The following is a 12,942-nucleotide window of genomic DNA, read 5'->3' as shown; positions in this document are numbered from 1 at the left end:
CATAAGTTTAATGTGTTAAATTGATGACACTTTTTAAAAAGCTGTAAGCATTTATAGCTATACCTTCTTCTCTACCACTGCATTCTCTATGTCCTGTAAGTTTTGGTATGCTGTTTTTTTATTTTTAGTTGTCTCTAAGTATTTTCCATTTTGGGGGGGATTTACCGCCTAATGTGATCTATCCTAGAATATGTCCCAGGTGCACTTAAGAAGCATGTGTATTATATTGTTGGCTAGAGTGTTCTTGTATGCCTGTTAGATCTAGTTCATTCATTGTCATTCAATAATTCTATTTTTTTAACTTATCTTTTGCCTAATTCTTGTACCCATTGTGGATAACAGGTTATTAAAATCTTCAACTATTATTTTAGAACTATTTCTCCCTTCAATTTTATTAATTTTTGCTTCATATATTTTATGGCCTGCTATTTGAAAAAGGTATATTTTTATAATTATTAAATATTGTTCATTTACTAAAACTTTATTAATATGTAACAGTCTTCTCTGTCTCTTGTAAACTTTCTTGACTTAAAGTCTATTTTGTCTGGTATTAGTATGGCCATACCTGCTCTCTTTGGTAATTATTTGCATAAAATATACTTTTCCATTCTTTAGCGTCCCATCTATTTATGTCTTTGATTCTAAAGTGAGTCTCTTATAGATAGCATATAGGTGGATCATGTTTTTATCCATTCTGCCACTCTCTGTCTTTCAATAGTGAGTTTAATTTATTTACATTTAAATTACCAAGAAGGGACTTTACTCTGTAATTTTTCTGCTTATATTCTATCTGCTTTATGACTTTTTGTTACTTATTTCCTGTATTCTTCCTTCTTTTGCTCTTAGTTGATTTTTTGTAATAAAACATTTAAACACCATTTTCATTTTCTTTTGAACAATTCTATAGCTGCAATCTTTGTGGTTACCATAGGGATTATAACATCCTAAAGATACAAGAGTAACTTGAACTTACATAAGCTTAACTTCAATAGCATACAGTAACTGTTCTTGTAACAGGTCTATCCCACCCCCTTGGGTTTTTGATGTTGCAAAATTGCTTCTTTATACATTGTGTACCCCAAAACATAAACTAACAACTTTTTAATGCATTAGTCTCTTCAATTATATAGAAAACAAAACTTGGAGTTATAAACCAAAGTTACAATAATCATTTAGAAAAGAACAGGTAGAGTTTTACACCCTTGTACAATAAATAATACACGTGTTATAATTGTCCGTATGTTTACCTGAAACATAGATCTTTCTATGTTTCTATGAAAAAAGATTTTTCTTTTTTCATATGGCATTGAATAACTGTCTGTTGTTCTTTTATTTCAGACTGCATGACTCCCTCTAGCATTTCTTGCGGGAAGGTCAAGTGTTTAAAAATGATAATAAAAGCAAAACTCCCTAAGCTTTTGTTTAACTGAAAATGTCTTAATTTATTTCTCACTTTGAAGAACAGTTTTTCCAGATATAGGATTCTTGGTTGACAGGTTTTTAATTTTTTTCTCTTAGTGCTTTGCAAATATCAACCCACTGCCTTCTTGCCTTCTAAGCTTCTTATGGGAAATCTGCTAATAATCTTATGGAGAATTCATTGTATTTGCCTCTAAGCTTTTCTCCTGATGCTTTCAAAATTCCGTTTTTGTTTTTAGCTTTTAAAAGTTTGACTATAGTGTCTTGTTGTGAGTTATTTTGATACCATCCTACTCAGAATTCATTGAGCTTCCTGTGTACTTATATTCATGTTTTTCATAAAATGTGTGAACTTTTCAGTCATTATTTATTTAAATATTCTCTGTCTCTTTCTCTCTGTCTTCTCCTCAGCATTTTCACAGTGCATATGTTGGTCTTCTTGGTTGTGTCTCATAGGTCCCTTATGCTCTGTTAACTTTTCTTCAATCTCTCTGTTTTTTCAGACTCAATAAATTTTATTGTCCTAAGTTCCAGTTCACTGATTCTTTATTCTGGTTGTTCAAATCGGCCTTTGAATCCCTCTTGTAAAGTTTTCATTTCCGTTATTACACTTTTGACTCCAATATTTCTTTTTGGTTTTATTTTTAGGTTTTCTATCTCATTATTCTTATTTTTACCAAATATTGCATTATCTTCTTTACTTTGTGCATACCTTCTTTTAGTTCCTTGAACATCTTTAAAATAGTTGTTTTTGTGCTGGGCATATATTAGTTGTTCAATAAATAGGTGTTCAGTGGAAAACAAAATAATCCCCATGTTTGGAATAATAGAATAATCACTACATCACGAGTCCTCAGCTCAGAATTCTCCAAAAATTATTTCATTTAACATGCAAAACTCTATAAAATAAATATTATCCCATTTCACACATAAAGACAGTTAGCTTAAAGAGGGTAATTACATTAGACAAAAATGACACACAATCAGTCAATAAGCGTCTATTGAATTCTGAAGCCCATGTTCTTTATAATGTTGCCTAGTAGATCTGCCTTCAATTCTTTCTCAGGGACAGTTTTTATTTTTGTTTTGTTTTGTTTTGTTTTCATTTGAATAGACCATATTTTCCTATCCCTTTGTATGCCTTGCGATTTCTTGTTTAAAGCTAAACATTTGAATCTAATAATGTAGTAAGTCAGGAAATCAGACTATCCCCTTCCACCATAGTTGGCTGTTTTCTGTTTTGTTTTTGGTTTTCATTTTGTTGGTTTGGATTTGTTTGGTCATCCTGTTGTGTAAACATAAGGCCTTCTCAAGTATTTTCTGAGCCTACTCCATTTCCTGGGTATGCTTGGTAACTTTCTAATTTCATCTGTATACATGGTTGCTTTTGAATATCCTAGTCTTCAATGTCTAGCTCCTAAATGGAAAACAGAGAAAAAGGAAGAAGGAAAAAGGTACCAGCTCTATAAATCTCCTGAAAGACACATTACTTAGAGACGGAGAGGCTTGCAACATTGAGGGAAGTTGGGGCAACAGTGGCCACTATCTCTTCTTGTGCTCTTCTGTGATAAGCAATCAGTGGTCATAGCACAGATCTCCAATATTGGAAGGCAGGGTCATTTTTTTCTAACCCTGGCCACCACAAACTGTATGCAATCTATTCTAGAAATATATGCACAGCTGCCTGCCATAGGGCTTAAGAGCGGGATGCTAGCTGCTGCTGTGCTAAGAGCTTAAATGGACCAAATTAACTACAAATTAACCATCTAAGCTGTCACTGGAAGTTGTAAGCCTTCAATAGACTCTAGAGTTCTAAAATAGTTACATTAGTCAGATTCTGCCAGTGCAATTTTTGTCTACAGAGCAGAGATAGATTTTTGGTACATCCTACTCTGCCATCTTCCCAGAATCCCCACCTTTAGTTTTAAGTTGATTTATTTTTGTTCTTTCCACCTGATCAATTATATAACCCACAAAGTAATATCCAGATTATTAGTTTCTGTTATATTACCTGCTGGTTCCTGAAAACTCAACATTATAAAGAACATGGGCTTTGGAATTCAATAGAAGCTTATTGATTGATTGTGTGTCATTAGACAATGTAATTACCCTCTTTAAGCTAACTGTCTTTATGTGTGAAATGGGATAATATTTATTTTATAGAGTTTTTCATGTTAAATGAAATAATTTTTGGAGAATTCTGAGCTGAGGACTTGTGATGTAGTGATTATTGTATTATTCCAAACATGGGGATTATTTTGTTTTCCACTGAACACCTATTTATTGAACAGCTAATATATGCCCAGTACAATTCCTGAAAATGCTGGGGGGAAAGTGTTGTACAAAACCAGTTCTTTTCCATCATGAAGCTTATAGTGTAGTGGAAAATGCACATAACAAAAACAATGAAACAAGTTTAATTAGAGATAAATATTATGACACCAAAAACTGAGATGGAATGTAAGTAAGCAGGCTATTTGCCATTCACTTCTTTTTTTTTTTTTTAGTCATCCACCTAAGTTGAAAATTGAATGCTTTCCTAAGCTGCACTTCTTCTTATTAGGTTGCAGAGTCATGCAGAGACCTCATTTCAGAATGCTTTTTAATATTAATTTGTTCTGCTAATTTCCAACATAGGCACACTAGTTCTACTCATTATTACTCCTAAGGGAGACCCTCCCTAGTGATTGTTGTCTTTCACTGGGGTCCCATTCTAGTACTTAAGTGACACTATTTTGTTATATAGAGGCTCACAAAGCATACTTACAAGTTTACCACATTTCTGTTTGAAAATATAAAACTGAAATGCTCTCAATCCCCTATTACTGTCAGCTTGGCATTAAAAGTCTTACATATTATGAGCATTTCCCTTTTTTTCATTTACCTTCCTGGACCCTAAGTGTTCAGCCACCCATCTCACTTGGCTCTTCCACCACACCCCTCTCCCATCACCCACCTCCTTTAACACTTTCCTTTTGCTTCTGTTGTTCCTCCCCCTCACTACCATCATTGCCATCTCCTCCCTATAAATTGCTTTTTATTCTCTTTGATAAGGATCACTACAAGGTTATCTGTAAAAAAGATAGCCTTTTTTTTTTTTTATAGATAGGTCTTTCTGTTGTTCAGAGGAGCTATGATCTATCTTGACGACTTGTCACTCTTTGAATTATTGACGAAAGCAGGTGCTTACTTAAGAACTCCTCATTTACCTACCAGATTGTAAACTCCTGGGTGATTGACTACCCAAACTGCACTACACTGAAAATACCAAAAACGCAAAGTAGCCTGTTCTTTCCTTTACTTAATTAAATGTACGGTCTGATGCAAAGAGTTGCTCAATAAATATCTGCTGAACTGAGTCAATTAAATCAAAGAAGTGTGTCTCAGGTGTTACAACACTTCACAATTTAGATTTTAATTGAGTGTAACTTCATGATCACACCTACCTTATGACATTTTCAGTCTTCATTTACAAGATGCTTTGGCACATATTATAAATTTTTATTTGTATTATATGATGCTGAAGGTTGGAGCTGCAATGACTACTGCCTGGAATTGAATGCCAACTGGGAATTGAAGCAGTTAAAGATTCTTATACAATTTGCTTTAATGAATGCAGAAATGCAGTATTACAAAGAAAAAGTAACTAAAAGTTTAGTTGACCAACCGGTGTGAAATTGAGATAAGCAACCACCTCCTAATTAGAAATTGAGAAAGACTGCATTTCTAGGGTATGGCTAATGCGATCCCATATGCTCTTCTCTTTTTTCTTTTGCTTTTTTGCCCCCCTGGAAGCATGTGGGAAATGAGAAACCAGCCTGGTCTTCAATGGTTTGCTTTGTGCTTCTTTATTATGGTCAGTCACAGCAGTTGAGCAATGAATGTGTCACTTTAAGAAGAAAATCTTCTTAACCTGGAAGGGATGAATCAGGTGTGAAATGCTCTATTTGATACATTCAGAGGGAAACTTTTGTAGATTAATGCCTTAAAATTGAAAAAAAAAGTTTTATACACTGAAGTCTGACTCAGACCCTGGTTCAAAAATATCTACAAACATTACCTCTTGTTCTTTAGGAGAAACAAAATTATTTACCATGATTTTCTAAAATAAAATAGATAACATTTAAAATAAATCAGTATAATGAGGTGTTCTTTAATTGATCCTAGTGATACGGGCTACTGGAGGCATTACTGTTTTTAGCAAAGCATTTGTCAGTGTATATAGTTTTGTTACTGAATATATTCTTACATGTTTGAATGAGAAAGACCCTATCATACATTGCTACTCTGCAGCAATGTTTATATTGCAATAGATAGCAGGTGAGGATCATTATAAGTATCAGCTGGTTAAGAAGGGGTAAATTTTTAAAATGCAAAAATCAGCAGTAACACTAAGCTTGCTTTGAGCCTCTGCCCTCTCAAGCCTTATCTCTAAGGGAGATAAAATAATGAAAAACACTTGGCTAAACTGCTGGCAAAACTCTTATTGTTTGTACCACTCTTGGAAAAGACTCTTGGGACTAGCAGTGGAATCCTTGCTATTGATTGGCTGGTTAAATAGGGGACTATTAGCTTCAGACAGGCTAGATTGATTATACAGCAGCAGCATGAGCTGAGTCTCAGAGCTGAGCGAGCGTCAGGGTGAAAAGGAAAGAGAGAAAGAGAGAGAGAGAGAAAAAAAAGCGGGGAGAGAGAGAGAGAGAGGAACACAAGGTGGGGAGGAAGCCAGTGCACGTTCCATAGCATCACTACTGTGACTGCTTGTACCCGATAATCTTGCTCTGCAGCTCCCTCAGTGAACAACTTACTGAGGTGCCTTTCTTTTTACAAGAGGATGTCAGCTCTGAGCTCCAGCAAGAAATAACAGACTTCACCTTGGAATAGCTCATCTTACTCCTGCATCATTAAAGCGGATTTTCAAAAGAAAACAAAAATCAAGTCCCCTTTCCAGTTCCACTTTCTTCCAGCATTGAACAGGAACAGTTTCACGCTCCAGGTAAGGAAATGCAATTTTTATCTCTGGATTTCTTTTTAATTATTCACAGCAAAATACATCATAGCTTTGCATGTTTTTAAAACTGAGTTTTCCATGATGCATTAAAGTAAATTCTATACACAAGTATGTTGATTTAGAAATATGGAAATGCACACTGTGTTTATATTAATATATTTGCATTTAAAAAATATCTCCAGGTACAGATTTTTTTTTCAAAAATAAGGTCACTACATTGTAAGTTTCTGTAGCAGATACTCCACGTAAAGAAGAAAAATAAGCCAAGTTTATAATACAAAGTACATTTTTTTGTGACAACCTTACAATATGTTCATAAATATTGTTTTTAGCTGTTAAACTACTTTGGTAAATAATAGCATATCAAGAAAGGACCATTGCTGTGTTAACTATCAGTTATTATATTTTATGCAGACGTAGATGCTATCATATGCTTTTCAGTGATTGCTAGTGGTTTTTTTTTTTCTAAATCTGTCTTTAGATTGCAGTTTTAACTCTTCAATACAAACACAATATTTGTTAAATGATGTGACATTAGACTGCCCTCTTATTGATGGTCAGCATTTGTGCTTAAGAAAGTATTGAGCTAAGGCAAAGAAATGTGACTCTGGAGATGTTTAGCTATTTTAGAGTTCATTGCTTACCTGCAGTAGCATCAATTAATGTTTTGCATGTCAGTGATGCTACGTGCGGGTTAAGCATCTGTGAATATATGGGAACTTCGCGCATATTAAATCCTCTGCTGGGAAGAATAGAGTTTTTTAAAATGATATCTGAAATTGATGGGTTGGACTAGAAATAATGAGCTGGGGCAATGCAGTCCTGATGTATTTGATTGACCTTAGTTTTATAGGTCACAGATATTAACTGCTAAGGATAAAACATTGTGACAGAAAGAATTTATTTAATGCTTACTGGAACTCTAATGGTGTGTGACATTTTTATGTCAATTTGTTTGCTTTTGGATTAATTAAGAGATATTTTACCCCGAGAATTGCTCTGACTGTCCTTTTGAGTGAAGTTCCCTGAGTCACTCTTCTAATCAAAGAACAAACTGCCATCTGTGATAAGTCAGCAAAACTTTTTAATATGTTGTTCAACGTTTCAAAAAAGAACATGATTGCCAACCTTAGTAGTAGCCCACATGTCTGAATTTAGAATTATTACATACTCTAAATAGTTGTTTTTGTGTGTTTTATTCACCCTTATTTATATTTTAATTAAAAATGCATATTTAAAAAAACACTATTTTATGACGTTCATTTTGTCTTCTAAATGCGAGATGATATTTAGATGCTTCCTAATAATGCAAGTATTATTACAGCTACCTTGGTATTCTATTGATATAATCGTATCAGAAGTGAATAACTGAATTGTTGATATGAATTTTGGAAAGTACAGTTGGTCTTAGGAAGTAGAGAGATATGTATTAGAGAATAGTGATGTTTTTGTTTTTAAATTGAGTCATTTGTTTAAAAAAAGTATATATATATAAAATACTTAAAAGAAATATATATATATTTCTTTTATATATATAAATACATATATATATTTCTTTTATATATATAAATACATATATATATTTCTTTTATATATAAATACATATATATATATATATATATATATATATATATATATATTTCTTTTAAGTATTATATTTGGGGGACAAATGCCAAACCGTTAACTGAGAATGGTGACTGGCACTGTAAACCATATATTTATGTATATTGTTGCAGTATCATGCCAAATTCACAGACAGAATTTGTTTTAAATCTATTATAACCTTGTTTAGTTATTGTTTTGCTTATAATATTCAGATTGCTTTTAATAATTGTATTATTGCTTTTAATAATTGTATTCAAAATTGTATTTTAATAATTCCATTTTATTTATGCAAATAATCTGACATCTCATTCAAGGATGTAACTTTGTTTTAACTAATTCTTCTACTCATTTTTAAGTTTAATATACAAATTACTTTGAATTTTATAATTTTTGTTGCAACAACCTTAAGTATCCAAGTTGTTTTATACAGTTCAGTGTCCTCCTGGTACTTATTTATGGGCTATATTGGCTTATATGCAATTAAAAAAAAACGTAATTCTAATAGTATTGTGTGTGTTTTTATGAGACCATTAAAATTTTAGCATAAGTAGATGTAACATCAATGCTAAGTTTTTTTTCTGTGAATAGACATACTCTTCCTTCAAAAATACTTTTAATTTCTTAGCACTGTTTGCTTCTTGCACTAGGACATTCTTCTTAGCTTATACTCAATATTACTTTGATTCTCTTTTTTGTTTTCTTACAAATTCTGTAATTTCTCCTGTAAGAAATTTGATTTCCCATATTATTAACAGGAAATGGTCAATGATTAGAAAAAAAGAAAGTGTTTTTAAAAAACACTTCACACTTTCCAACTGTGTAATGAATATGTCTCCTGCATTCCAGATCAGTGCTTCTCTGCAAACATAATTGAGGAAGACAAGTGTGCTAGGAGTCACATATGTAAGCATCACCCTCAGTCTGAAATCTAACAGCTTACTTCACCAATTCATTTTAGGGATTCTCACTATTGTTTGCATTGTTGAGAGAGCTCTAGTTGACCTTTTATTCAACTCTCCATTTGCTTCCATAGTATCACATACCTTTCCTGATTACTCATTTTAGCCATTGTGAAACAAGAATTGAGAAAGTACAACCTCTTCTGTTTTTATAGATATCTGAGCCATTAGGGGGCTCTTTCTTCCTGTGTTATACTCATCAAACCACTGAAAGAGGTTATAGAGCTTTCTTGAAGTGTTTTCCCTATTTTTATAATGTGAATACTTTTAAAAGTAGCTTTATTCTTCTCCCCACACAAAGAAACATTTAAGATCAATAAGAAGCCCTTATTTTCACAGGTAAATGAGATATATCCTATGCTTTTCAAACTTACTGTCTTTAAAATATTCTTGTATATAATCTTTGAAAATAACAACGGCTTGAAATATTAATATGACCTATTTTAGGCAAATGTAAAGATAATATATTATGCAAACAGCATCATAAGAAATATAAAATATAAAATTAAGGCCAAACCTGAGGGAAGAAACATCCTTTACATGATCTCCACATCTCTAGGGACAGCACCGAAACTCAATGACTGTGGCTTCCATGCAGTTTGCTTTCAGGAGACAAGATCAGCAGGCAGCTAAAAAGAGAATATTACCTTTTTTTTTTCTTTTACAAAAATAGACATGGAAGAATTGAAGATAAAAGAATGTTTTACTATCCACACAGGCATAGAAAATGCATTTTTAAATTCCAGAAAATATTGTATGCTGACATTATATAAAGTTATCATTACATACACAGAAGTTCATGGGAGGGTGTATTACGGGAAGAAAGGGTATTTCCCTTATCACTTTTGAAAGCCATGTATATTGAATTGCACCGTAGACTTTCTTAATAAATGGAAAAACATTCCTCCCATCTCTACAGCAGTTAGAGATCTTCTCTTACTGCAGGACTTGGTTAGGGGTTACGCAGCATTTAATAATGAGTCCATGAACTTAGCCAGTCTAAGCTTTTTTCAAATGGTGCTAGCTCATGGAAAGAGAAAGAAGTGACATACACAATGTGAGTGACATTTCTTTTGAGAAGTGAGAGAAAAGGAGGAATTCTAAGCAATGAATCATGGAGTTCAATCATTTATTGAATAGCTCCTTGACTTATCAGTGTAGAAGTTGCTCAAATAAAATGGAAATATGAAAATGGTAAAGATATCTCCTTTACTGGTCTTTTCAGAGTAAATATATAGAGTTATTTTTCTCTGTTTGAAAATTTACATACCTTGATAATTGTGAATTTTGAATGCAACTAGCATATACAATATACAAAGCATATACAATACACAAAGTTCTGTGGAAATCATTCCCCATCTACTGGTATATAATATAATGCTGTTCTTTTTCACAAAATTAGATTTTGGTAATATAAATTATTAAGCAATGTGACTTGAGTGAGAATTCCGATGCTATATATTGATGTGAACCATAAATAAAATATGTTAAGGACTTTACTGTCTTCTAAAAAGAGATTATCTTTTATATTAAAGTAGCACAGAAATGGAGATGGGCTAAAATTGAAAATAAGACAAATAAATGAAAATGCAACAACTGTATAGAAACTTTTGTATGTTGCGAAATTTGGCCAAGAATCAAGAGACAAACATAACAATGAAAGGGATATATTCATGTTTTCTATTTAATGGTAAAGACGTAGAGGTGTCACTGTCATGTAATATTTCTATGTCTCACAGAGTATGAGAAAAATTCTCTCTAGAGATATGGAAAGTAGAAAAATGAGTAACTGAAATGGGTAATTTTTAATATAATAGGTTGATATCAGGCTTTGTAAGGAAACAAGAGGACTCATGTCTATTGGGTTTACTCTAATGGACTTAGATGATGTTAATAATTAGAAAGTATATGTTGGTTTCTATTTGCTCTCTTGTTGCTATGATCAATGAACCGAATTGTTTTCTCTACAAAATTACTCCTTGGCCTATTTGTCTTTGTGAAACTATGTGTGCATATGATTGGATGAGAATGTGTGTGTATATCTGGGTATAGTTGTTTTTATAAAGTCAGAATAACATAGAAATAGAATCACCTGTACTTTGCTTAGATATGACTTCAGATGGGTCCATCTGTTGCATTATTTCCTGTCCATTAGAACTCTGTCTTGAGTCATGTACCTTCATCCTTGAGCCAGCCCTGCTGTTTACTAAACTGCAGTCACTCTAACTTGTGAATGAGAGGATCTTGGCCCAGGTTACTGAGAATAGAGGAAGATAATGAATCAGACTAGAACATGATTTTATTAATCATAATATGAATAAGGTGTAAAAGAGAGTAGTGTTATTTACCTGTCTACCAGATATACTAATGTCACTCATAGGTTAAAAGTTATCCATTCTCACCCATCCTTGGCAGAAATAAAATGAGAGAAGATCCAGTAGTGAGGCATTATGTATAGCGAACATTGTTTTACGACAGGCAAAGCAAATGGGTTTCAAACAGCTATGGCACATACTTCATTTTTTTTTTAATGAACAGACTTTATTTTCCAATCAGTTTCAGCTTTACAAAAAATGATGGAAAAGAGGAGGGTTCCTACATACCAGTCATCCTCTGCCAGTTTTTCTTATGATTAACATCTTGCATTAGTGTGGTATATTTGTTGCAATGGAAGAACCATTATTGATTCACCATTATTAACTTAAGTTCATAGTTTATATTAGAGTTGACTCTCTGTAATGTATATTATATAAATTTTGACAAACATATAATAAGGTATATCCACGTTTATAGTATCAGACAGAACATTTTCATTGCCATTCAATTCTCCTGTGCACCACCTAGTCATGCCTTCTTCAGTTCCTTCTCCGTAACACCTGACAAGCACTGATCTTTTAATATATCCATAGTTTTGTCTCTCAGAATGTCATGTAGTTGGAATAAGGTAGGTAGGTTTGCTGATTTGCTTTTCTTAATCAACATGCATTTAAAGTGCTTCAATATCTTTTTATGGTTTGAGGGCTCATTTCATTTTATTACTGAATAATATTCTCTATGTTATGGATGAGCCACAGTTTGTTTATTCATTCATCTACTGAAGGTCATCTTGGTTACTACCAAGTTTTGACAATCATAAATAAAGCTGCCATAAGCATTAATGTTCAGTCTTTTGTGTATATGTAAGTGTTCAACTCATTTGGGTAAATACCAATGAGCATGATTTCTGGATTATATGGTAAGAGTTTGTTGTTGTTGTTGTTGTTGTGGTTTTTGAGATTGAGTCTTGCTCTGTTGCCCAGGCTGGAGTGCAGTGGTGTGACCTTGGCTCACTGCAACCTCCACCTCCCAGGTTCAAGCAATTCTCCTGCCTCAGCCTCCCAAGGAGCTGGGATGACACCACGCCTGGCTAATTATTTGTATTTTCAGTAGAGATGGGGTTTCCCCATATTGGCCAGGCTGGTCTCGAACTCTTGACCTCATGATCCGCCCGCCGTGGCCTTCCAAAGTGCTGGGATTACAGGTGTGAGCCATGGCGCCTGGCCGAGCATGTTTATTTGAAGGAATGATTCAGAATATTGGCTCGTAGTACAAGCTATATAAATGATTTTGAAAATGTTTTAATGTCTCTGACTTTCTTTTCCTCTCCATTCCCCTTTTCTTTTCATATAAAATGGAGGGCAATGTAGTTGGTTAAACAGTCTCATGTTCTAATATTATATGAAGGTGGGTATGTACACGACTCGTAGCCATCCCACTGAACTGCTCTGCAGCTGTTTTCCTGCCTACTCATTGAAAGCAGCATGCAGTTATAGTATAATAGGTGGGTTAATGTGTATAAGCCCCTTCAAAATAGAAAGTGTTAGAGATGAATATGGGTGCATTATGCAGTGAATATGATTAGATATCCCTTAGAAACAAAATGTAAAGTACTTGGTGAGAGAAAGCTCT

General features: G+C 33.4%; 1 protein-coding gene across 6 annotated transcripts in view; it reads left to right on the top strand.

The window, feature by feature from the left end:
• The first annotated feature begins 6,163 nt into the window (after window positions 1–6,163).
• CDH18 (cadherin 18) overlaps window positions 6,164–12,942 on the top strand; it is a 1,104,418-nt gene continuing 1,097,639 nt past the window's right edge. For all 6 annotated transcript variants that reach the window (XM_005248228.5, NM_001349562.2, NM_001349556.2 and 3 more), the window contains exon 1: window positions 6,164–6,415. The gene's annotated coding sequence lies outside the window, so the exon portion shown is untranslated. The remainder of the gene's footprint in view (window positions 6,416–12,942) is intronic.

Source organism: Homo sapiens, chromosome 5 (genome assembly GCF_000001405.40).
Source record: "Homo sapiens chromosome 5, GRCh38.p14 Primary Assembly".
NCBI classification, from domain to species: domain Eukaryota; kingdom Metazoa; phylum Chordata; class Mammalia; order Primates; family Hominidae; genus Homo; species Homo sapiens.
This window is presented reverse-complemented; position numbering and strand designations above follow the sequence as displayed.